Source organism: Homo sapiens, chromosome 12 (genome assembly GCF_000001405.40).
Source record: "Homo sapiens chromosome 12, GRCh38.p14 Primary Assembly".
In the NCBI taxonomy this organism is placed as follows: domain Eukaryota; kingdom Metazoa; phylum Chordata; class Mammalia; order Primates; family Hominidae; genus Homo; species Homo sapiens.
This window is the reverse complement of record NC_000012.12, coordinates 64,402,633-64,428,738: the sequence shown is the minus strand read 5'-3', so window position 1 is coordinate 64,428,738 and position 26,106 is coordinate 64,402,633. Positions and strand designations below refer to the sequence as shown.

Here is a 26,106-nt window from a genome sequence, read left to right as displayed (position 1 = left end):
ATGTAAAGTAATATCTTTCAAATAATTTTTTAAAATTACTTTTTCCAGGATTATATTTTTAAGATTTTGATCTTTTAGAATTGTGGTTTTTAGGATTTCAGGATTTTAACACTTGGGATTATGGCCCAATCCCAACACCAAAATATTCAGATCGACTAGCACTTAATTTTTTTTTTTACCCTAAGCCTGAAATGACAGGGAAAACCTTCGATCTAACAGTAGCAGCTGCTAAGAATGGCTAATACAATTATAGGATTAAACAGAATAATTTAGAAGTTGAATTTTTTAAATTTTTATTTTCTTTTGGTTTTTAAAATTTTTAATATACTTTTCATTTTAACAGCAAGCTCATCTTTAATGAATTTTTTCTTCTTCATAAAATGCTTCAACATTTTAACAATATACCCCATGCTGCCAAATTGATCTGTCAACTCTTGATTCCTATTACTATGTTTTGTTTACTATGTCAACAGAATTTTGGTAAATAGAACTAATCTTTGCACATACACTTCCCTCCACCACCAATTTTTTTTTTTAAATGCCAACAAAGGCAAGGCTAATGGCACGTGTGGCTTCAATGAATTCTGGGTAAAATATCTTAAAGAGACAGATACTTACAGGTGGAGAAAGCTCTAATAAATCTTGTATTCTATTCAAAATATCCTCAATGAAAGGATTCATTTGCTTACTGAAAAACAGAAAAAGGAAATCACAATTAATAACAGTGCTCAAAACAGTGCTAAAATACCAAATTCCCCCTTTAAGACAGAACTAAAAAAAAGTTCAGTTGTAGGCTAGTCACTTCTGATTAAGATTAGCTATGGTTAATTTTTAAAAATTACCTTTATCTGCTCTGTAGTGATAAGATTGTCAAAATGACTTACAATCTTATAAACCTAATAAGGAGTAGTTTTCATTCGCAAAAAATAGTACTAGTAAAGAATAATACAGGCCAAGTGCAGTGGCTCATTTCTGTAATCCCAACACGTTGGGAGGCCGAGGTGGGAAGACTGAGCTAAAGAATTTGAGACCAGGCTGGGCAATGTGGTGAGACTGATTCTACAAAAAATACAAAAATTAGCCGGCCATCGTCACACGCCTGTAGTCCCAGGTGCTCAGGGGGCTGAGGTGGGAAGATCACCTGAGCCTGAGGAGGTTGAGGTTGCAGTGAACTGGGATCCAGCCACTATACTCCAGCCTAGGCGACAGCATGAGACCCCCATCTCAAAAAAATAACAACAAAAAACAATGAAAACTTTTACTATTGAACTAAGTACTTGGCTGATGAGCAGGAAAGGAAGTGGCAACATAAAAAGGGGGCTGGGCGCGGTGGCTCATGCCTGTAATACCAGCACTTTGGGAGGCTGAAGAGGGTGGATCATCTCAGGTCAGGAGTTCAAGGCCAGCCTGACCAACATGGTGAAGCCCCATCTCTACTAAAAATACAAAAAATTAGCCGGGTGTGGCGATGGACACCTGTAATCCTGGCTACTCAGTAGGCTGAGGCAGGAGAATCGCTTCAACCCAGGAGGCAGGGGTTGCAGTGAGTCAAGATCATGCCATTGTACTCCAGCCTGGGCAACAAGAACGAAAATCTGTCTCAAAAAAAAAAAAAAAAAAAGGTCGGGAGTACATCTACCTGACCTGACAAAGCATGACTTGACTTGAACAGGAAGAACCAAATCTACCATAGGCTCTTGGAAAATAATTTATATGTCTACTTTTTTTTTATTTCCATCTTCATTTTATTTTTTTGAGACAGAGTTTCACTCTTGTCACCCAGGCTGGAGTGCAATGGCACGATCTCTGCTCACTGCAAATTCTGCTTCCTGGGTTCAAGTGATTCTCCTGCCTCAGCCTTCTGTTAGCTGGGATTACAGGTGCCCACCACCATGCCCGGCTAATTTTCTGTATTTTTAGTAGAGACCGGGTTTCATCATGTTGGCCAGGCTAGTCTCAAACTCCTGATCTTAGGTGATCCACCCGCCTCAGCCTCCCAAAGTGCTGGGATTACAGGCGTGGGCCACCGCGCCAGGCCTCCATCTTCATTTTAAATTCAGGGGGTACACATGGAGGTTTGTTACACGGGTATATCACGGGATGCTGAGGTTTGCGCTTCTATTGATCCAATCCCATTGCCCAGATATTGAACACAGTACCCAACAGGAAGTTTTTCAGCACTTGCCCCACTCCCTCATTTTGGAGTCCCAAGTGTCTTTTGTTCCCAGCTTCATATCTGTGTGTACCCAAGATTTAGCTCTCACTTATAAGTGAGAACATGTGGCATTTGTTTTTTTGTTTCTGCGTTAATTTGCTTAGATTAAAGGCCTCCAGCTGCATCCATGTTGCTGTAAAGGACATGATTTTGTTCTTTGTTATGGCTGTTTAGTATTTCATGATGTATGTGTACTACATTTTCTTTTTCTTTTTTTTTTTTTTTGAGACTGAGTCTCACGCTGTCACCCAGGCTGGAGTGTGATCTTGGCTCACTGCAACCTCCACCTCCCAGGTTCAAGCGATTCTCCTGCCTCAGCCTCCTGAGTAGGTGGGATTACAGGAACCCGCCACCATGCCTAGCTAATTTTTTGTATCTTTAGTAGAGATGGGGTTTCACCATGTTGGCCAGGCTGGTCTCCAACTCCTGACCTTGTGATCGGCCTCCCAGAGTGTTGGGATTATAGGCATGAGCCACCATACCTGGCCTACATTTTCTTTATCTAATCCACCACTGATGGGCACCTAGGTTGATTCCATGTCTTTACTATTGTTTTACATCTATCCAGTAACTTAAAAAATAACTAAACATAATAGCTGCAATTTTATACTTACTTGAGAGATTTGACAAATCTAGAAAACAGGTAAGCCGTCCTGCTCCGAACTTTTGCACTGGAATGCCGCAGACCTCTGTGATCTAAGAAAGCCATCTAAAGAAGGAGACACTTTTACTATTTCTGCATTTTTTCAAGGGTTTTGTTGATATTGTCCTGCTACATTTTTGTTCACACCAAATTTTACTTCTTAGCTCCTAAAAGGCAGGGACTAGGAATATACGAGTAATTCTAAACTACACACAAACAGTCCCTTGAGAACTTGTTTTAGTTGACTAATTGGGCACAAACTATCCATTTAAAAGAAATGGAGGAGGGGTTACTTTCAGTGTGTGCCAAGCACTTCTGAGAGGTTTTGATTCTGAGAAAAGTTATAGACAGAAAAATACAATACTACACTATCAAGTCATTAGCTGAAACCCATGGAAAGTAACAAAAATCCAGAGTACTTACTAGTACACATGGAATGTGCTGAGGTTCAACTGTGAAAAACTTTTCATATCTAACAACAGTTTCGAAGAACTCCAATGTCACAGATGTATGCTGATAGGAACTGACTCCTGATGTTACCAGCTAGATCAGGAAAAAGTTAGGAAACCTCTTCTTATTTATTGCAACATCAAAATGCCCCGGTATTAACATATACTAAGCTCTAACAATTAAGGAACTCCCATTAGCTTATACTGAAAACAGAAATTTATGGTCAAAATTATCTCCAGTATACTTACAGTTCGCATCATATCCTGCAAAGCACTAGCTTTTGAAACATCACCTGAGAAGTGAGCACCATGAGATACTGGAAGAGCTTCTGCCAACATATACAGCAATCTTATTGCTACTTCAACTTCCATAAACCGTGTAGTCTGCCAATTCCTACCAAGGTATAATATGTCAGTGAGATTTAAAGATAAATTTTTCATACAGCAAATTATGCACAGGGTAAGACACCAACAAAAGCCTTTTTAATTATTAAAAAGTCATAGCAACTGTTAACTTTCCCAGGCAATACATCACAAAGGTAGAAAGGATCAAGATAAATCAAGAAGACAAGTGCATTGTTTCCAGAGATACACATAAGATCTCAATAAGTAACATGGATTAATAAGTCATATGAATCATTTATTTTGACCCATATCAAAGAGCAAAAGAAAGAAGTAGGCTTGTTACAAAAGTAATGACAAACTTACTGCAGTGTAGAACTAAAAACTCTGCGAACAGAGGCCAGTAGTAACTCTGGTGAAACTTGAGCAAGCCTGTCCAACAGTAACTTCAGTTGTTTTCTATATTCTACAAACATGGCTTCATCTTCACCCTATGATACAGGTTAAAATCCTCATTCAAAAAACTTATGGGTTGATCGGCGCAGCAAACCACCATGGCTACATGTATACCTATGTAACAAACCTGCACGTTCTGCACATGTACCCCAAAACTTAAAGTATAATAATAAAAATTAAAAACTTAAAAGACCTTAAAATTCATGTAAATATCCAGTTCTCCTGTATTTTTCCGCATTTACATATTTCGTACTTTTATTTTTGTCACTATTTATATAGAAAAACTTATTAAGCTTAATAACTTCTTCCCTCCAGCTCACAAATAAGTATTTCTGCACAAAGCCGTAGACCTCAAAAGCCTAGAGCTAGAAATAGTCTAAGAAGGTTAAAGACAATACTCTAGCACTAGAATGGGCTTTGAATTCTTTGCACCTTATTTATTCTTGTAAGTCAATATCCACTGTAAAAAGTGGTAATAATATGGTATAACTGGAGATATTCAATCTTAGGAGCCTGGCACATCCCAGGTGCGCAGTGTGTTGGTCAGCACCACTATTATCCTTTTACAACCCTAAGTTTTTGAATGTCTGAGGTGGGGGAATACAACACTTTAGAACAAAGCTTAGCAGCAAATACCATGACTGAATACCTAGAAAGCACCAATGGCCCTTGTTTGATGGGAAGCTGACCCACTCACAATCTTGAAAAAGACCTTTAACTGGAACAAGTCTAGAGCGCCTCATTTCCACTCTGCCAATACAGTCTTGTGACTGGAGTTCATCATTCTTACAAAATATAAAGTGAAATATGATCACCAATAATATTATCAATATTTTACTATGTTCAGTGCTACACAGTATTTGTAAAAGGGCTGTTAATGGGACAGGTGCAGTGGCTCACACCTATAATCCCAACACTTTGGGAGGCTGAGGCAGGCAGATCACTTGAGGCCAGGAGTTCAAGACCAACTTGGCCAACACGGCGAAACCCCGTCTCTACTAAAAATACAAGAATTAGCCGGGCATGGTGGCACATGCCTGTAATCCCAGCTACTAAGGTGGCTGAGGCACAAGAATCACTTGAACCCAGGAGGCAGAGGATGCAGTGAGCTGAGATGGCACCACTGCACTCCAGCCTGGGTGACAGAGTGAGACTCTGTCTCAAAGCAAAAAAAAAGGAGGGGGGGTGGTTGTTAATGGATAAAATATCAAAAAGGAAGGATTAAGAGGCTTCTATTAATTTCACCCAAGGTTGGTGTCAATATAAACAGACTAATTTTTCAAGAACTTCATGTTTTAAAGGGCCCCGAAACAATAAGAACTTGAAATATTAATTTGATATAATAATAAAATTAAAACTCCTTTCTCCTCAACAAAAAAAAATTCTTACCTCATTTTCAAAGTTATATTCTTCATCGTAAGTCAATTTTTTCATAACGGCCAACATGATTGCCTAAGAATAAAATTGAGAATAAAAGAGTTTTTGTCAGTCTCCTTCTAATTTGATATAATTTGAAATTAAGCTACATTTCAAGGCAAATTACAGACTAAAAATCTATCATTGGTTTAAAAGAAGCATAAAGTCAATTACCTCTACATTAGCTTTTTGCTGATCCGAGAGCACTGTAAGCTGTTAAAAAGGAAGCAATAACTTATTAGGTTTTCTAAAGTTATACCTGCATATCAGAACATTTTTCGAATCAATTAAGACCTGGTTTTTTTTTTTTTTTTTGAGACAAGGTCTTGCTCTGTTGCCCAGGCTGGAGTGCAGTGGCGCAGTCATGGCTCACTGCAACCCCCAACTCCCTGGCTCAAGAGATCCTCCCACCTCACCCTCCCAAGTTAGCTGGGACCGCAGGCATGTGCCACCACACTTGGCTAGTTTTCTTTTTATTATTTATAGAAATGGAGTCTTCCTATGTTGCCCAGGCTGGTCTCAAACTCCTGGCCTCAAACAATCCTCCCGCCTCAGCCTTACCAAGTGCTGGGATTACAGGTGACAGCCATTATGCCTGGCCTGTAATCAATCAAGATCTTTGAAAACATGCACACAACTTTTTTGGAGGGCAGTTTAGCAGCAGCTGCCTATATTTAAAATATACCTAACCTAAGATCAAGTAATGCCACTTCTAGTAAGTAACTTGACATGTAGACAAAGACACCTATAACATATTCTGCAAAGGTTTTTAAACAAAGCAAAACAAGCCTACAAAACCATTAAGAGATATACAATGGAATTACCAATAGTGATCATACCTTTCCACACTGCATAAAATTTCTTGAAGTATACATAAAGATACATGTTATGTTTACTACAATAAAACAGAAACTAAAGTCATTTGGGAACATATTTTAAGTTTGACTTGACTCAATTAATTCAAAGTAAATATACAGAAATGGCTTTCATCTAATATCATATTGATAAGTTACTAATTATTTTAATTGCTAAATGCTATAATATGGAGACTAACACCACCTACAAGTTCTTTCTGGAAGTGGGGGAAACTTTAATTGTAAAAAATTGTTGCCGGGCGTGGTGGCTCACACCTGTAATCCCAGCACTTTGGGAGGCTGTGGTGGGCAGATCACCTGAGGTAGGGAGTTCAAGACCAGCCTGACCAACATGGAGAAACCCTGTCTACTAAAAGTACAAAATCAGCTGGATGTGGTGGTGCATGCCTGTAATCCCAGGTACTTGGGAGGTTGAGGCAGGAAAATCGCTTGAACCTGGGAGGTGGAGGTTGTGGTGAGCTGACATCACGCCATTGCACTCCAGCCTGGGCAACAACAGCAAAACTCCGTCTCAAAAAAGAAAAAAAAATTGTTTATGAGAAATGAATGATGTATATGTAAATTAAAATAACAAACCATGCTTATGAAAATTTCAACTGTATTCACAAATAAAGACAGGTTCAAAATAAAAAAAAAAACCTAAACCTATAACTACCTCTGAAGCTGGTTAGTCTACTGAATTTAGAACCTGAAACTATTTTCTGGCCAATTCTTTTTTTTTTAAGATGGAAATACATTAGTATTTAACAGTAAATATCTTTAGGTAGTAGAATTATGGGTATTTTCTCATTTTTAATTTTTCCATATTTTCCACTTCTCCATGGCTCCTTTGTATTATGTATTGAGCAAAAAGAATAAAACAAAAACTTACCTGTTTCAAAATATGAAGATAATCGTAACAAAATCCAATAATATTAGAAGAAATATCATCATCCTCATGAATTAGTAGCTGCAACATCAGTGCCACTTTTGTTTCAATAGCTTGTAGTGCCTCTTGAGCATTCTTAATATCCCCATTCTTAATTAATTTACTCCAACTAACTATCAATGACTGTCCCATTCCATTTACCAACTTAGAAAATCTGGCCAGGAAGTCAACATCTTCTTCCTATAAGCAATCAAGACACATCTCTGTTTAAAACTGCCTGCCCAAGCTAAGAGGAAAAACTGAACTTTAATATGAATCAAGTGCTAATTACAGGATTCAATTTTAAAATGACGTCATATATTTAACAATTCCAGGCTGGGCACGGTGGCTTATGCCTGTAATCCCAGCACTCTGGAAGGCCGAAGTGGGTGGATTACCTGAGGTCAAGAGTTCGAGACAAGCCTGGCCAACATGGTGAAACCCCGTCTCTACCAAAAAGGTAAAAAATTTGCCGGGTGTAGTGGCATGCGCCTGTAATCTCAGCTACTCGGAAGGCTGAGACAGGAGAATCACTTGAACCCGGGAGACGGAGGTTGCAGTGAGCCGAGACTGTGCCACTGCACTCCAGCCTGGGCAACAGAGTGAGACTCCATCTCAAAAAACAAAACAAAACAAAAAATCTCAATTCCACTATGAACAAGTTGTGTCAGCATCTCCTAAGAGTTTGTGAGAAATGTGCAATTACAGGCTTTCAGGTTTAAGAACTGGTATAACCCATTCTCCAAGGAGAATGCTACTGAGAACATTTTGGCTAGATGCAGTGGTTTATATTATAATCTCAAGGGGAGTTTATAACATTTAGAAGAAAAAAAGCTATTATTATATTTAACTTAGTACCTATCCCAGTTTGTTCTAACAACTTTACATACAATGTTTTATATAAATTTACCAACCTGGTCAATGCTGAAAAACCCAGCAGACTGTAATACTTGACACAAAGATTCCACTAGTTTCATTTTATCAACAGGGTCCATTCCTTTATTTACAACTTCAAATAAACAGTCACATGCTTCTTCCCGTAGAACTTCTATTGACATATGACCTAGCAGCATATTTATAAACCTGGTAATGGGACAATAAAATTGTAACATTTTCAAAGTCATGAGTTTTAGATACTGTATTTTACAAGTTTATACTATAAAAATAATAGGCATACTTACCTATCATTGGCTATAAGGGATAAGTCTATCCAAGAGACATAAGCCCCAACTACTTCAAGGCACTGACACGTCACTTCAGAATTAGTAAACTGATAATTTTGTAATATTTGGTACCATGATTCCACCAGATTTGGAATGCACTGTTCCCTCATGGTATCTTTTATGAGAGTATTCCTACGAGCCTCCTAAAATACAAAACGCCAAATGCAAAGTAGATTACCTTACAAAATCATGTTTGATATCTGAATATACTTGCAGAGAGTAAACTTTCAGACTTGTTAACACATTCCCTACCAGTATTTCCTATTTACCAGCTCTAAGATCATATCCTGTGATTCTTTGTATTTCCTCTTTCTGTTCTACTCCTCAGTGTCAGAGTTAATTTCTTAGTAAATACAAACTATAAAAAGCACTGCTTAGAAATCTTAAGCATATTTTAAGTTATTTCTCAATATAGTAACATAGTACTTACACTATGTGATGAAGAATACAGAAGTAGCAACACGGACAACTCCTAAGCAATGCTTCTTCCTTGCTCAGGGACTATATAGCAGTATTAAATTGAGACTACCTTTCTCAACAGATTCATAAAAGAAAATCAACTCGTGTATGTCACTACAGTATTTGCCTAGTTAAAAAAAATTTAGGCTGGGCGCAGTGGCTCATGCCTGTAATCCCCACACTTTGGGAGGGCAAGGCGGGCGGATCACCTGAAGTCAGGAGTTTGAGCACAGCCTGGCGAAACCCAATCTCTACAAAAAATACAAAAATTAGCCAGGCGTGGTGGCATGTGCCTATAATCCCAGCTACTAGGGAGGCTGAGGTGGGAGAATCGCTTGAACCCAGGAGGCGGAGGTTGCAGTGAGCCAAGACTGTGCCACTGCACTCCAGCCTGGGGAACAGAGCAAGACTCCGTCTCAAAAAAGTAAAAAAATAAAAAATGTAATGTAATACTTTAATTTCAATATACCTCTGGAAAAAAAATAACCAAGTTTGAGTTCCTTCATAAAATAAAATCCAAAACATCAGGTAAATTTATAATTATATAACTTAAGAAAGTTTACCTCAAGAAAGAAAACTTCCCTGCTCTTTTTATTATGTGCCCATTATCACCTACAAAACTTACATTAAATATAAAAAATTCATGGTTAGTTACTTGCCTCTGATGTATGCACCACATCACGATCCACCAACTCTGAATCAATAGCCATGAGGATTCGCAGGTAGAGATCTACTCCCCTTGGATTTAGGTCCACTACTGAGAGAATGTCAAAAAAAAACTTGGGCCACTTAGTGAGATACTCTGTAACAAAAAGCAAGGCGAAGACTTGGGCGGCTTTATTTCGTATAAAGGTCTTCTCTGGTTGGGGATTCAGCATCTGACAAACAGAGAAACAGTCCATAAAATTAAATGTAAATTGAAAAGACCCAGAAACACCAGTTGTCTTATTAAAAGGCAAAGTTTCATCAAATGTCAACATGGCCCAGATAAACTATGCAACAAATACTCTTCAAAATTATTTTGATAATTATGATTATCAAAATTATCAAAAGTATTTAAGTGATTGACCAGATGAAGAACAATTAAATGAACCATTAAAGGCTGTAATGATTATTCCTCATTCTTACACTTTGACAGAAAAGTTTCATGTGCAGAGTTTTAATAGTTCCTATAATTTCTTCTAAGAAGAAAAAAAAATTTTCCTCTACTTGCTCTTTAAGGAAAATGAAAACTCTAGCTACACAACTGCTTTATGTGTTAAGATTAGCTAAAATTAACTGAAAAGAACTCAACTGGCCCTTTATAAAGGGCTCTGGTGGAGAGGCTGTCCAGGAGGGCTCACCTTTAAGAGCCAAACAGAAAGCAGCATTTGTCAAGTAGTTAAAAACAACTACATTTTAAAACCAAAGTTTCCACAATGTGTCATGGAAACTATGACCATTTCAGTCATTGATATAATATTAAATTATTGCTAAACTACCACTTCCATGATCTTTAAAACCAGCACCTTTTAAAAAAGCTATGAAATCAAATGGAGGAACACTGATGAAAATCTTTGAGGTAAAGTTCCAAACTCTTGCAAAAAATAAGTTTAAATATCTAATAATTTGAGGTACTGAATGAAATTATGATTTTACCTGAGCTTGCAGCCATGATATGAGCGTCTCCCTAATTAGCTGTTGTTGAACAGTGGTTAGTTCTGAGTATCTGTTCAAAATAGAGAAGAAAAAGAATAATGGCTATATTTGGTGTCTATGGTTGTAAAAAATAACAGCCTCATATATTTGAAAGGGAAAATTTGTATAGCTCTCAATTATCTGAAGTTCCCTAACATAAACTGATAATGCCACTCATCATTGCTTTAAAGATAAGGACAAGAGTGGCAGGTAGGGCATCAATATCAATCTTTAATTTGTGATTCTGTTCATGTTGAAACAAATGATGGCTACACAATTTTTCGAATGAAAATGTTTTGTGGTCTGTGATCTACAGAATAAACCAATAGGTGAACTAGGAATCCTCTCAGTAGTGATTTGTTATTTTGCTTAATTAGTAAGTCAGAGATTCTGAACACAAGTGCCCATGCAGCTACTTAACTCTAAGAGAGAATTGTCATGTAGAAAAACAGGCCTGGTGTTACCAGATATTCTGACTTTTCCAGAAAAGCTGGAAATCTAGATTTTTCTGTGAAATATCTGGATTTTCATTTTTTTTTTTTTTTTTGAGACAAGGTCTTGCTGTATTGCCCAGGCTGAAGTGCAGTGGCACCATCATGGCTCACTGGAGCCTCAACCTCCTGGCCTCAGCTTCCCCAGTAGCTGGGAATACAGAAGCGCGCAATCATGCCTGGCTAATTTTTTAAAAAAATTTTTGTAGAGATGAGGTCTCACTATGTTGCCTAGGCTGGTCTCAAACTCCTGAGCTCAAACGATCCTCTTGCCTTGGACTCCCAAAGTGCTGAGATCATAGGCATGAGCCACTGCGCCCAGCCTTGGATTTTTATGTGTAACCAACAAACTCAGCACTTTTTTTATTTTTGAGACGGAGTCTCGCTGTCACCCAGTCTGGAGTGCAGTGGTGTGATCCCGGCTCACTGCAACCTCCGCCTCCCAGGTTCAAGCAATTCTCGTGCCTCAGTCTCCTGAGTAGCTGGGATTACAGGTGCATGCCACCACATCTGACTAGTTTCTGTATTTTTTGTAGAGACGGGGTTTCACCATGTTGGCCAGGCTGGTTAGTCTCAAACTCCTGACTTCAAGTGATCTACCGGCCTCAGCCTCCCAAAGTGCTCGGATTACAGGCGAGAGCCACCTCACCTGGCCAACTCAGCACTTTTAAAACACTTTGGGGTACATCAAAACGTATCTATAACCTGGATATAACATATACACTGTGAATTTACAACCTGTATTATGGTTTCCTTATGGAAGAAAAACATTAAATTAAAAAAATGACCTCTCCCCGCAAATCTGAGTCAAAACAGTAAGAAAAGCCTTACTTGTATTTAACTTGATGTTCCAGTACTTGAAAGCAGAAAAACTTCACATGATCATCACTGAAAAAGAAAAAAAGAAAATGAGATAAGCAGAATATGAACTGAGGAAAACAAATCAAAGGCAAAATAGTAATGAGTAATACAGCAGAAAAGTTTCTCAAACTAGACCTTTGGCTTGTTTCATACTTACTGGTCTCATTTTATGACATTAAAATCCATTTACTTAAAAAGCTATGAGAACTCTAAATATTACACAATATTTAAAATTTCCATTAAATCTGACAAGCAAACTAACCAAGATATTAAGATGCACCTTGAATACAATGCTTTGTAAGCAGCAAACCATCCCTCTAAATTCCAGATATTAAGATTCCTGGAACAGTCCCTTCATTTTACAATAACAGGTTAGGTGTAAAATTACAAATGGCAGAACAGACAGAGTCTGAGTGAAAGTAAAGATGGTCGTCCAAGTCCTGCTTAAAATTCAACCCCAGTAGTTCTATTGTAGCCAAATCCAAAACAAGCAGGGCCACATGGACTGTCAGTCCAACTTCAAAGTTTCGTACAGGACACTAAATTACAAATATGGTACCCTTGCTTATACAAGATGGGGGCAAAAGTCAACACACCAATTACCCACTTCCAACTGTCTTTCTAGGGGAGTGGCAGAGTTGCAGTTAGCCAGCTATAAACACTGACAAAGATCTTCTAGAGACCAACAATCTGCCAATGAAGTGAGTATAAGAGAGTTCCTATTTCCGTAAAAAGTTAGTTGAATGCTTTAGAAAGATTTCATAGAAAGCCACACTGCAGAAGGAAAAAATCTTGTACATATTTGACATGGCCTATATAACCAGAAGACTTGAGAGGCGGGGACAAATATCTTAAAAATCTATGGATCGTCACTCATTGTACAGAGACCCATGCTAGAAATTGTAGAGGATGGGTTACAGGTGTGACCAACCTACGAATAAAGTGAATGCTAGTTAGTATACAAAGATAAAGACTGTGGTCCAATATTAAAAGATTGGTCACCGAATGATTATATACCTTAAGTTAAAATTAAAAATTAAGATATAGGCCGGGTACGGTGGCTCACGCCTGTAATCCCAGCACTTTGGAAGGCCGAGACGGGCGGATCACAAGGTCAGGAGATCGAGACCATCCTGGCCAACACAGTGAAACCCTGTCTCCACCAAAAAGAAATACAAAAAAATTAGCCGGGCATGGTGATGGGCACCTGTAGTCCCAGCTACTCAGGAGGCTGAGGCAGGAGAATGGCAAGAACCCAGGAGGCGAAGCTTGCAGTGAGCCTAGATTGCGCCACTGCACTTCAGCCTGGGCGACAAAGCGAGACTCCATCTCAAGAAAATAATAATAATAATAATAAAATAAATAAATAATTTTAAAATTAAGATATATATCATTTACAATCACCGTCTTTACCAAAGTTTTAGGAAAGCAGTTATCACCCTCAATCATAAGATAAGGAAGTTTTTACTGCACTTTATTCCAGCTGGGATCTGGTGACAGGTACACAATATATACCAAAGGATGGTTTTACTGAAAAGTTAATTCTGAAATGGCCAAACTGGGTTTACTACTTTTCTCATTTCTACATGGAATGACTATATGTTAATGGCTTTGCAAAAAAAAAAAAAAGTCATAAAATGTTTTTATGAAAACACTTTCCAAATACAGGTAAATTTCACAGTCCTGTCATGTCCACAGAAATTTAAATTGTCATGCAAATTTTGTTTTTAATTACCTGTATGTCCTCTGGGCTAGAGCTTCTGCACACACCTGCCAGGCATCTGGGGAAATTTTTAACTGCTCAAAATAGGCCAGGGCCTATAAGATTGCAAAACAAAAAAATGCATTTAGAATAAACAATCTCAATGCCCTGCTAATATAAACAAAATATTCTGAGAGTTGCAAACCTATAACAAATCAGTAAACTTAATAGAAAAACAGTTAAAACATTAAATGCAGGCTTCCGAATATATGCAACTTGGGGTCATTCCTAAAAATAGGTTAAATAAATATAAATTCCATCAGTTAGATAATCAAACCTGTTTTCTTACAGCAGCAACAACACAAAAATGCCCCGCAGCCTTCATGGGGTTATTATGAAGAATGAGAGCAAGTGCTTTGTCAAGTGCCATACTACTGAGAAATTGCAGAGGATGAGTTAAGGGTGTGATCATTTTATAATATGCAATTATAAAATGGCACGTGAAGGGCACTTTTCCTATTTAATAGCACATCTGCTATTAAAGCGGTGATTATAAAAGATAAAACATACTGTGTACCTTATCTGATCTACTGTTACACAGGAGAGTATTTCAAGTCTTTAATTATATCATGTAAGTTCCCTAAAGAGATTAAAATTGGAGTACAAGTGCATGATATGAATTTTGAAAAATATTAAGTAACTGAAAAGGTCAAAGCTCGAGGAAGTTTTTTATCTCTAAGTTTATGAATTCAGGGCCTTGTAATCACAAGTAACAGTGCCAACAAGGAGCAAGAGTACTCTAGAATGGATGCAGCACCAAGTCCATACGCTCTCTACCAAACTGTTGGGAAAATGGGAGTTACTTCAGGCACTCTTCCCATCAGCATGTTGCACCAGATGCAGGTTTCACACATGGCAATGGACAAATAGTAGTGAACATCTTGTGACAAGTATCTCCAATAGACAAGAAAATTGCACATCAACTGGAAGCACTGCTAGATGATTTGACAGCAATTATGTATGAAACAAAAGCTGACATGAGGTAAAAGAAACATTAGCCTTAGAGAAACCTAATTTCAATTGGTAAATATTTTTAAAACGGTGGTGTCTCCCACTAGTGATGAAATCAGTTTATGGGTCCTGAACAATAATTTTTAAAAATGAAATAGAGAATATTAGATATTCTGTACTATACCCTAGCAAGAATATTACTTTCTGTAACTTGTTTTAGTTATTTATGTGCATATGTACCTATAAATATATACACACACACTGGGTCATCGAGATGTAAAGTTATTTTTTTCTTTGGGTTACAGATCAAAGCCACTGTATTTATATTTAGGTGATAGTTTCCTATACTATGTAACTGTATGAATGAGGGAATGGGTTTTCATACATGGTCTCAATGGCTGCTCCCACTGACAGAAGACCAGGTAAATGAAGATGATTAGGTGAAGATCACCAAATATAATATTAAATATATGGTATAACGAAAAAATACATTTGGGCTTTGCAGCCAGTTGCTGGCTCAGAGCCCTTAAAACTCTTGGAAAATTTCCTGAGCGACAGGACCGTCTTTTGTTATTTATAATGAGTCCTTTGGGCCAGGCACAGCAGTTCACACCTATAATCCCAACACTCTGGGGGGTCAAGGTGGGAAGATCACTTGAGGCTGGAAGATCACTTGAGGCCAGCAGTTCAAGGCTAGCCTGGGCAACATAGTGGGACCCTGTCTCTACAAAAAATTTAAAAATTAGCCAGAAGTGGTGACGTGCACCTACAGTCCCAACTACTTGGGAGGCTAAGGTGGAAGGATCACTAGAGACTTCGGGGTCAACAGAGTTTATGTTAATGAGGTAACTTGGTGTGGGAACACTAGACAGCCTCAGGATACAGCTGGTTACCAGAAAGATCAACTGATTAGAGTGTTGAAACTTTTACCCTAACCACCAACCTCTGGGAAGGGGAGAAGGGACTCAAGATTCAGCTCTATAAAAACTCTTGAACTTCCAGGTTGGCAAACACATCGAGATGCTGAGAGGGTGGTGTTCCTAGAGAGGGTGGTGTTCCTAGAGAGGGCACAAGAGCTCTGTGCCCCTTCCCCTATACTTTGCCCTATGCATCGCTTCCATGTGGCTGCTCATGAGGTGGATCCTTCATCAGCACAAGAAAGTCAACTGTTTTTCTAAGTTCTGTAGGCTACTCCATCATCAGAAATATGAGAGGTTCTGGACTCAATTAGTGTCTTAAGTGGGGGCGGTTTGTAAGACCGAGCCCATAACTTGTGGGATGTGATGCTAATCCTGGTAGTGTCAGAATTGAATTGATTTGTAGGACACCCAGTTGGTGTCCACAGAAATCAAGAGAGTTGGTTGTTGGTATTGGAAAACAGCCCAGAGTAAATAATGTCTCTCTTTAGAAGTTAAGACTATAAGAACACAGGCAGCTATAAAAGATAGTACTAGCTTAGTTGTTTCTAACAGCAGTCCATGAAACATAGGGTATTCTTTAGGAATATCTCAGAGGCCAGAGGACAAGGTAGAAGTTAATCATGTATGTTGCATTACCACCTAATATTTCACTTACAAAAGAGGGGAGAGGTGGTTTCAGCTGCTAGAAATGTCATGACATACCATTTTCTTTAAATAATAACAGGTTTTAAGCCAAAGACGAGTGTTTTATTTTTTAAAAAGGAGGAGGCTGGGCGCGGTGAGTCATGCCTGTAATCCCAGCACTTTGGGAGGCTGAGGCAGGGAGATCACAAGGTCAAGAGTTTGAGACCAGCCTGACCAACATGGTGAAACCCCGTCTCCACCAAACATACAGAAATTAGCTAGGCGTGGTGGTGTGTGCTTCTAATCCTAGCTACTCTAATCCCAGCTGAGGCAGGAGAATCTCTTGAACCCGGGAGTTGGAGGTTGCTGTGAGCCAAGATGGTGCCATTCCACTCCAGGCTGGGCAACAGAGTGAGACTCTGTCTCAAAAAAAAAAGGGCGGGGGGCGGGGCAGGGGTGAGAGGAAGGAGAGGAGAGATAACGTGGAAGTTTTTAGTTTTTAAACAAAGCCTTTGTATTCTGAATCTATGCATTACTAACAATTAAAAAAACAAAATTCTACAACACTGACAAACAAGTCCTAGCTTTCACCACCTAGTTCTACCCCATACCTTTTTTCTAATGGTTGACTGACTCTATGTGACAAGAGTCAGTTCAACTTTTATTGCCCATGTAAAAAACAGAGAATTACAGATAGACAACTGAGCAATTGGGGTTGGCAGACAGTCATTCTTCTCACCACCAAACTGAATTAAGTTTCCACTACTCCCGAACTGCAACAAAAGGGCTTTCAGAATTCACTTTAAGATTTCTTCCCTTTCATCCTAATAAATTGTTATTCAGATTGGCTAAATGGATACTGAATTATGCCTGGACCTGGATGCTTAAAACACGTATGTGACAGAACCCATTTTTACTGACAAAAAGCAGAGCTTCTGTATTAAAACCACTAATAATGTATTGGTTTTAATTTTCTGAAAAAGAAATCATGGCACATTTAAAAAAATTGGATGCTGGAACTTAAGAGGCAAAGAAAATGCCTCTTTCATCCAAAAATTGGATGCTGGAACTTAAGAAATGAAAGATTTCAAGAGGCACATAAAAATAACAGTAAAGGCCATTTAATAACTAAACATACAGTCAAAGGCTTTTAATTACAAGCATGCAATACCAAGCTAGACTAAAGGTAAAGATCTATGATACTTCAACTATGTTTGAAGGTAGGTAGCATAAAACCCTATGACAAGAAAGATTTGTTTACACACAGAAGACATGGATTTTAAATGTCTTTTGATGTCCTAACTTGTTTGATAGGTATCTTGTAATTAGCCAGATACTTAAATCTCAATTCCTATTATTTTCCTGTATCTGAAGGGCTCGTTACTTATTTAGTAGCAGAGACATGCACATGGTACTGTATTAGAAACTAGTTGGGATTGTTTTTTACTGCTTTAAAAGATTTTTTTCTTAAAATAAGAATAAAAACTGCTATAATTTTTAGTGAGATTGTTAACCTCATTTAGCTCATTTATAAAAAGTATTCTTTGCTATGAAAAGTAAAAAGAAAATGCCTCTTTCCTTTCCACTTACCCTATAGTTCCAAATGCCCACGTCTTTAAAAAAAATTAATTATAGGCTCATTCTTTATATTTTTCTATCATTCAGCTATAGTCATGATTATAGTTGTAGGCTACATTATATTTAATTGTTTACATTTATCCAACTATCCCAGCACTTTATAATGGATTCTTGTCATGTAACCATTTTACTTAAGACATAACCTATCATAACTGCTTATTTATGTCTGCCTAGACCAAATAACAAGAAAGTTAAATATCACTAATGTGGCCGGGCAGGGTGACTCATGCCTATAATCCTAGCATTTTAGGAGACTGAGGTGGGCAGATCGCTTGAGCTCAGGAGTTCGAGACCAGCCTGGGCAAGATGGTGAAACCCTATCTCTAGAAAAAAATTAAAATAAAAAAAAAATCATTAAGGTAAGTGTTAAAACAGCTTGTATAGATCAAGCCAAGGAAAGAGAAAATAAAATACACATGTCTGCTGCTATGGAAAGTCTCTTAAACGAATCCTTTGCATTACAATTTTTAAATAATTAGAAATAATGACTGATGTTGCATAAAGATCTGCCTTGAATCATATGAGATTTTAATACTTTTGTTTGGCCAAGTAAACAGAAAATAAATCACAACACTCACTGTTTCTATATTCAAAATATATTCAAATACCTCAAATTTTTTTGTTTCTGTTCATTTCTACCCAAAGTAAACTTTTGCCAGGTGCATTTTTATTCAAGTCCTCTAATGCCAATCTGTGGTGACATGATTAAAAAATGATTCAGCAGAGTAACTTACCCTTTGTCTAAAGTCTGAATCAGCATTTGGATTTAGCCCTAATAGAGCCTGTTCATCCATCCTCGCTGTTATACTTGTAGTTTTCTGGTTGTAATAGGCGTGCCCTCTGATCCCACAGAAGAATTTATAAACATCTGCCACAAAAAACAAAGTTGAAAGAAAACATTACTTGATAAACAAATAGATGCTTATCCTGAATAACGTAAATGGATAAAATCATGCAAAGAAGCTTAAATGTTTAAAAACTTATTTTGGAACTTATCTAAATTACAACTAAAAGTTAGAGCCTAATTCTCAGAAAAATGGGCTCTGCTAACTACTCCACTAATGTGTAATTCCTAAAAATCTGATTTTTTTTTTTGAGACGGAGTCTCACTCTGTTGCCCAGGCTGGAGTGCAGTGGCACCGTATCAGCTCACTGCAAGCTCCGTGTCCCAGGTTCACGCCATTCTCCTGCCTCACCCTCCCGAGTAGCTGGGACTACAGGCGCCCGCCACCGCGCTGGGCTAATTTTTTGTATTTTTAGTAGAGTCAGGGTTTCACCGTGTTAGCCAGGATGGTCTTGATCTCCTGACCTCGTGATCCGCCCGCCTTGGCCTCCCAAAGTGCTGGGATTACAGGCATGAGCCACCCCACCTGGCCCCTAAAAATCTTAAAGTATGCCATAAAGGTCCTCAAGCTTTCTTAGTCTTCAAGATCTTCTTAATAAGGTATAGAAAGTAATCATTTTCTACTTTAAATAGTAGAAGTACCTAATTTATGCAGTGTTTTACTTATCTCTAGTACTTAAAAATGCAATTGTGCAACTGCAGTTAAGTATAAAAATGACAAATGCAGACTATTACAGTAATTATAATAATTTGTCTACTTCCAGATACAAATATCACAAACCTTCTTTAAAACATTAGAATGGCTGACCTCAGAGTTCAATATCCTTTGGAGTGTTTACTAAGTACTATGACAGAAGTCTAATGAAAGGAACAGGATAATGAAAAACCAGTCATTTAGCTTTTGAGCAATGGACTTAGTTTTGCATTTTACAGATCTCTGCTCTTGCCAGCCAATTCTAAAAATTTCAAAAAAAAAAAAGTTTTTCAATAGTAGATACAAAAACCCACAAACCAGCCAGCTACAGTGGCTCACACCGGTAATCTGAGAACTTTGGGAGGCTGAGGTGCGCAGATCACTTAAGGTCAGGAGTTCAAGCCAGCCTGACCAATACGGTGAAACCCTGTTTCTACTAAAAAGACAAAAATCAGCCAGGCTTGGTGGCACATGCCAGTAATCCCAGCTACTCGGGTGACTGAGGCACAAGAATCGCTTGAACCCAGGAGGCAGAGGTTGTAGTGAGCCAAGATTGCGCCACTGCACTCCAGCCTGGAGAACAGAGTGAGATTCCATCTCAAAAAAAACAAAACACACAAAAAAAAATCCACAAATGACTTAACACTGACTACTCTTATTTAAGGATTTTTTTTAATCTCTGAGAGGTAATCCACTTCTTCACAATATAGGTTCCAACATTCTCAAATAATAAGCTGCAAAAGGCATCCTAGTTTTTGATAGAATGCATATTCATTTGAGCAAACATGGAACAAACTCTAAATGATGTGAAAAATGATATTATTCTCTCAAGACCTATAAGGTAGGGAGACCAAGTCTTACTACTTCCATTAAACGCTGTGGGGGGCCAGGCGTGCTGGCTCATGCCTGTAATCCCAGCACTTTGGGAGGCCGAGGCAGGTGGATCACTTGAGGTCAGGAGTTCAAGACCAGCCTGGCCAACATGGTAAAATCCCCTACTAAAAATACAAAAAAATTAGTGGAGCATGGTGGCACACACCTGTAATCCCAGCTACTTGGGAGGCTGAGGCAGGAGAATCGCTTGAACCCAGGAGGTGGAGGTTGCAGTGAGCTGGGATCACGCCACTGCACTCCAGCCTGGGTGACAGAACGAGACTCTGTCTCAAAAAAAACAAAAAAAGGCTGTGGGGCTTTTTGTTTCAATTACCGTTAACCAAAGACGCCAAAAAACTAATTGGATTGGGGGTAGGGGAGAAAAGCCTTTTGGGAATAGCAGGGGTAGGGGAGAAAGGCCTTTTGGGAATAGCAAAACCAGGCTCAGGTCCAGGTTACAGGATACCTACAATAGGCTTTTCTGTTTTCCTCTGAGCCTGCCTGAATCAAATAACTCAGGATATGGACTGAGAGCTTTGAAGACAGCTCAGCCCTTTCTCTTATGGTTCATAACGTACTTGCAGACTTCAAGGCAGTGTAACTCCCTACTGCCCTCAGATTACGATCCAAACACTTTTGAATAACTCCTCACTATTCTGCACACCAGGTCAGCAAGGCCAGTGCTAGTGAACCATATGGCAGTTCTCCAGTGGTATTCTACCTTTCATCTTTGCACACTGCTCTTTCTTCTTGTTAGTAGGTTAACCCCTGCTGTCCTTTGAAATTCAACTTAGAAGCCATCTCTTTCAAGAACACTTCTTTGACCTCTATTGTCCAACTCTCCCAAATTGGATTACATGCCCCATCCTAAGCACTGCTATGCTGTCACTGCCAGCTTACTAGTTTTCTCTCATTAATCTTTTTTTTTTTTTTTTGAGACAGTCTCACTCTGTTGCCCAGGGTGGAGTGCAGTGACATGATCTCGGCTCACTGCAGCCTCTGGCTCCTGGGTTCAAGTGATTCTTCTGCCTCAGCCTCCCAAATAGCTGAGATTACAGGGGTGAGCCACCACACCCGGCTAATTTTTGTATTTTTTAGTAGAGATGGGGTTTCACCATGTTGCCCAGGCTGGTCTCGAACCCCTAATCTCAGGTGATCTGCCAGACTCGGCCTCCCAAAGTGCTGGGATTACAGGTGTGAGCCACCCGGCCATTTCTCACAATCTTAAAGGGCAAGGACTGTCTTGACTATCCATCACTATGTCCCTAGGACATAGTAGAGCATAGGTTTTGGATTTCAAAGACCTGGGTTTGTATCCCCATCTTGTCATTTTTTAATTGGGGCCACTTGGACAACTTACAAAACCTGAGAGAACCCTTTCTATGACATGGGAAAAAGACCATATGCCTCATAAAGTTGTAAAGGCTTCAAAGAGATAAGGTATGCAGAGCATGGCTGGCACATAGTGAGCCCTCAATACGTTGTTTATAGTCAGAGGTAGGAACATGTGGAATGGAAACGACTTGGGGCATTCTTATACCAGATCAGCATTTTTAAAAGACAGAAAAACACAAAGAAAGGCACTGGTTCCCTTCGCCCCCTAAATGTTAAGAAAATCTGATGTCCATTCCCCTGAAAAATGCCCACAGAGAGAAAAAACGATTTCGGAGTTTCTAAGAATCCCTGATTGAGAAGTCCAATAAAAGCTTCCTTGAATTTGCTATGGCTTTTTAAAAAAATGCTGGCCAGGCAGGGTGGCTCACGCCTATAATCCCAGCACTAAGGAAGGCCGAGGGGAGGGGGGCGCAGATCAACTGAGGTCGGGAGTTCGAGACCAGCCTGACCAACATGGAGAAACCCCGTCTCTACTAAAAATACAAAAATTAGCCGGGTGTGGTGGCACATGCCTGCAATCCCAGCTATTCGGGAGGCTGAGGCAGGAGAATCGCTTGAACCCGGGAGGCGGAGGTTGCAGTGAGCTGAGATGGCGCCACCGCACTCCAGCCTGGTCAACGAGAGCGAAACTCCATCTAAAAAAAATTGCTGGCTGGGCACGGTGGCTCACGCCTGTAATCCCAGCATTTTGGGAGGCCGAGGTGGGCGGATCACGAGGTCAGGAGTTCGAGACCAGCCTGACCAACACGGTGAAACGCCGTCTCTACTAAAAATACAAAAATTAGCTGGGCATGGTGGCCTGCGCCTGTAATCCCAGCTACCCAGGAGGCTGAGGCAGAAGACTCGCATGAACCCGGGAGGGGGAGGTTGCAGTGAGCGGAGATCGTGTCATTGCACTCCCGCCTGGGCGACAGAGTGAGACACTGTGTCAAAAAAAAGAAAAAGTGCTTAAGCTTGGTCAAGTCACTCTGAAGCTATCGGGAGAAAAATGAAGTGGCCCTAAGGAAAACATAGCCAATAAACCCAAGGAAACAAACTAGTTAACAGTTGTCACTACAGAAAGAATCCCCCACATAGAAGGCATTTGGACGATCAATATGCAGTGGAAGGCCGGGCGCGGTGGCTCACGCCTGTAATCCCAGCACTTTGGGAGGCTGAGGCGGGCGGATCGCGAGGTCAAGAGATCGAGACCATCCTGGCTAACACGGTGAAACTCCATCTCTACGAAAAATACAAAAAGTAGCCAGGTGTGGCGGGGCGCACCTGTAATAGAGCTACTCGGGAGGCTGAGGCTGCAGAATCACTTGAACCTGGGAGGCAGAGGTTGCAGTGAGCCGAGATGGCACCACTGCACTGCAGCCTGGGCGACCGAGCGAGACTCCGTCTCAAAACAACAACAACAAAACCCCAAAAAATGTTTCAATACGGTAAACAATTATGCATCTTGCAAAGGTTCTTGGGGGAAGGCAAGCAACATACTTAAAATATTAAGCCTTAACTTTTCCTGGATAGCCATTAAGAATCAAACAATTTGGAAAAATTCCTCTACACCTACTGAAGACTGTTTCAAATACTACGACTGAATCTTTCCAGCCTTTTAACACCACGCTGACAAGTCGGTTTAATAAAACGTAACTCTCCCCCAACCCCCGCCCGCCACAACTAATTAGCACTTTCAAAAAGTACTCGTTTTTCTGGTTACAGGGAAACCTCATGCTTCTCTAGTCCTGCAGGATGGTGAGGAAGGTTTGAGAAGAAATGGAGCGTCCGTGCTGGCCAATTACTGCACAGAAATAACACTTTTCCTTTTTGTCCAGGGGTGGGGGAAGAATCAAGTTTGAGGTCTCCACAGTTGATAACGCTACAACGATGACTAACGGGCTTCGGAACCACAGGCGATGCCGACCCTCCTCTGCTAGCCTTGCTCCCATCCCTCCCCCGATCCCTCCCCTAAAGGAAGCCTCGTGGCAATTCGGGTGATGAAACACCAAGCAACCGCCGGCCACGCACTCGGGACGCGCTCCTCGGCGGCGGCCCCGGCTCGTACCCACCCCCACCCGGTCCGCCCAGCCAGGGGGTGCACCGCCATAGAGGGTCCCAAGCCTGCACCCTCCCTGGCGTCGGGACTCCCCCGGGCCGGTCCGCCCCGGCCAACTTCCTCGAAGCCTCACGCGGACCAAACCTGGTCCCGGTCCCGCTGCCCCCGAGCCCCGAGTCACCTTCCCTATCACTCCATCCCGCCTCCCAGCCTGCACTCCAGATGGTCAGCCAGCGGAGCGGAGCGGCGCGGCACGCAGAGAGCTGGGAGAGCGGCCCTCGTCCTTGTCGCCGTAGTCCTCCGCCACGGCCGCAGCTACAACGCCAGAGACGGTGCTGGCCGGGACCGCGCGCCTCTAGTCGCTCTGCGTCCCCTGGCACCTTCTCTTGCGTGGCGCCGGGCAGGCAGGCAGGCAGGCAAGCAAGCAAGCAAGCAAGCGGGCGGGGTCGGCGCCCCAGGAAGGGAAAGAGCGCGAGGGCCGGCTAACGCCGCCGCCGCCGCCGCAGCCGCCGCCGCCGCTGAGTCAGCGCGAAGCGCGCTCCCCGCGTCGGTGCCGCGCGGGCGGGCGCCGGCGCCAGCAGTCTCTTGGAGAGTGCGGGCGGCAGCCCGCGGGCTGACGCCGGAGGCCTACAACTCCCAGCATGCAGGGAGCGGCCGGCGCTTCCGGGCGGCGAGGCGCACACGCGCTCCCTGGCGCTCGCCGGAAGGCGTGGTCACCGGGGCTTGAGGTGCATGCCGGGATGAGGCATCCGGCCCAGGAGTCCCTACCCAGCTCCTAAATCCCCGGCTGTGTCTGCGTGGTGTCAGAGCTCAAGCGTCAGGTTCGCCCCGAGCATTCCACAAAGGGCTTCTAGTAGTTGAGAGTACGGATTCACGAATCAGGATGACGTGGTTCTAACCACGTGTGAGTCAATTTAATTGCTTGTCTACGGCCCCAAGTGTCCCGAGTACAGCAGTGTAAAGCTCTGATGAGTGCTGACAGGTTTTCAAAATTAATTAATTAATTTATTTATTTATTCTTTGAGACGGAGTCTCGCTCTGTCGCCCAGGATGGGGTGCAATGGCGAGATCTTGGCTCACTGCAACCTCCGCCTCCGGGGTTCAAGCAGTTCTCCTGCATCAGCCTCCTGAGTAGCTGGGATGACAGGCGCGCGCCACCATACCCAGCTAATTTTTGTATTTTTCGTAGAGACAGGGTTGCACCATGTTGGACAGGCTGATCTCGAACTCCTGACCTCAAGTGATCACCTGCCTCGGCCTCCCAAAGTACTGGGATTACAGGCGTGAGCCACGGTGTCCGGTCCAAAATTTATTTTAAACAGACTAAAATTTTGTCCATGAAAAGAAGGAGAGCATTCTTAGGAAGTCCTACTCACGGGATCTTTCGATGCTACTAAATGTCACTTCATTTATTTGGTCACAGATTTATTAATTTATTAATGCAACATAGAGGCAGTGTAGGCTTAGGCTGCCTCGACTTGACTGCCACTCCGCCTCCTCACTAGTTGACCTCAGGCACTTTACTTTAGTCTATCCATGCTTCAGTTTACTCGTATGTAAAATGGGGATTGTTAATAGTACCGACCTCAAAGGGTTTCTGTGAGGTTTGAGTTAATACATGTGTTTGACACACAATGTGCTCAATATTTACATTTCATTGTTGATTATTCAATGTGTACTAAATACAGACTAGGTTGCTGCCACAGACTACAAACAAAACTTGGAGAGGGAGGAATGGTAAGAGCATAGAATAAAACTAATGTTTTAACAGCTACCTTTATTTAGCTGTCCAAGACACTACACCAGGCATTTCCTATATAAAATACCTTGAATCACTCTTGCATCATGTTTCTAATTTATGTGTTTAAAATGTCAGGCTAGTGGCTACAAGATGTCGCTAAAGGAGAACTGGGTTTTAATTTTTTCTTGTTTTTAGAGAAAGGGTCTCGCTCTGTTACCCAGTCTGGAGTAGAGTGGTCATAGCTCACTGCAGCCTTGACCTCCTGGGCTCAAGCAATCCTCCTGCCTCAGCCGCCCAAGGAGCTGGGACTACGGGTGCATACCATCATACCTGGCTATTTTTGTTTGTTTTTGTAGAGATGGGGACTTGCTCTGTTGCCCAGGCTGATCTCTAACTCCCAGGCTCAAATGAACCTCCCACCTCAGCTTCCCAAAGTGTTGGAATTACGAGTGTGAGTCCCTGTGTCAGGCCTTAATTTTCTTCACGCTGCTCTCAGTTGGCTTCCCAACGAAATAGGTTCTTTGTTGTTCTGGCATACAAATTTTCTTTTGATTGTAATCCTTGCATGCATTATGTTTCTACTATTCAAATTATTAATTATTCAAATTAATT

General features: G+C 40.9%; 1 protein-coding gene across 5 annotated transcripts in view, besides 4 other annotated features; it reads right to left on the bottom strand.

Moving 5' to 3' along the window:
• XPOT (exportin for tRNA) overlaps positions 1 to 24,347 on the bottom strand; it is a 46,734-nt gene extending 22,387 nt beyond the window's left edge. The window contains exons 1-16 of one of the 5 annotated variants that reach the window (XM_047428193.1): positions 22,979 to 24,347; positions 18,644 to 18,777; positions 13,750 to 13,832; positions 11,985 to 12,041; positions 10,624 to 10,693; positions 9,645 to 9,863; positions 8,485 to 8,669; positions 8,218 to 8,386; positions 7,268 to 7,504; positions 5,696 to 5,734; positions 5,495 to 5,557; positions 4,016 to 4,140; positions 3,557 to 3,701; positions 3,282 to 3,401; positions 2,830 to 2,924; positions 619 to 688 (exon numbers count right to left, since the gene is read on the bottom strand). In XM_047428193.1, coding sequence (XP_047284149.1) covers positions 619 to 688; positions 2,830 to 2,924; positions 3,282 to 3,401; positions 3,557 to 3,701; positions 4,016 to 4,140; positions 5,495 to 5,557; positions 5,696 to 5,734; positions 7,268 to 7,504; positions 8,218 to 8,386; positions 8,485 to 8,669; positions 9,645 to 9,863; positions 10,624 to 10,693; positions 11,985 to 12,041; positions 13,750 to 13,832; positions 18,644 to 18,703 — 1,737 coding nt within the window. In that variant the 5' untranslated portion in view covers positions 18,704 to 18,777; positions 22,979 to 24,347. Of the gene's footprint in view, positions 1 to 618; positions 689 to 2,829; positions 2,925 to 3,281; positions 3,402 to 3,556; positions 3,702 to 4,015; positions 4,141 to 5,494; positions 5,558 to 5,695; positions 5,735 to 7,267; positions 7,505 to 8,217; positions 8,387 to 8,484; positions 8,670 to 9,644; positions 9,864 to 10,623; positions 10,694 to 11,984; positions 12,042 to 13,749; positions 13,833 to 18,643; positions 18,778 to 22,978 lie in introns of those variants that run through there. The other 4 variants (XM_017018748.2, NM_007235.6, XM_047428194.1 and 1 more) reach the window with 4 other exon arrangements.
• Positions 22,749 to 23,625: an enhancer, noted in NCBI's record as "NANOG-H3K27ac-H3K4me1 hESC enhancer chr12:64798894-64799770 (GRCh37/hg19 assembly coordinates)". NCBI's record gives its function as "activates a minimal SCP1, AML or CMV promoter by ChIP-STARR-seq in naive H9 embryonic stem cells {active_cell/tissue: H9 hESC(naive)}" and the evidence as "EXISTENCE:reporter gene assay evidence [ECO:0000049][PMID:30033119]".
• Positions 23,733 to 23,842: a silencer, noted in NCBI's record as "silent region_4620". NCBI's record gives its function as "represses an Ori minimal core promoter by ATAC-STARR-seq in GM12878 lymphoblastoid cells {active_cell/tissue: GM12878}" and the evidence as "EXISTENCE:reporter gene assay evidence [ECO:0000049][PMID:35858748]".
• Positions 24,173 to 24,332: a silencer, noted in NCBI's record as "silent region_4619". NCBI's record gives its function as "represses an Ori minimal core promoter by ATAC-STARR-seq in GM12878 lymphoblastoid cells {active_cell/tissue: GM12878}" and the evidence as "EXISTENCE:reporter gene assay evidence [ECO:0000049][PMID:35858748]".
• Positions 24,723 to 24,772: an enhancer, noted in NCBI's record as "active region_6592". NCBI's record gives its function as "activates an Ori minimal core promoter by ATAC-STARR-seq in GM12878 lymphoblastoid cells {active_cell/tissue: GM12878}" and the evidence as "EXISTENCE:reporter gene assay evidence [ECO:0000049][PMID:35858748]".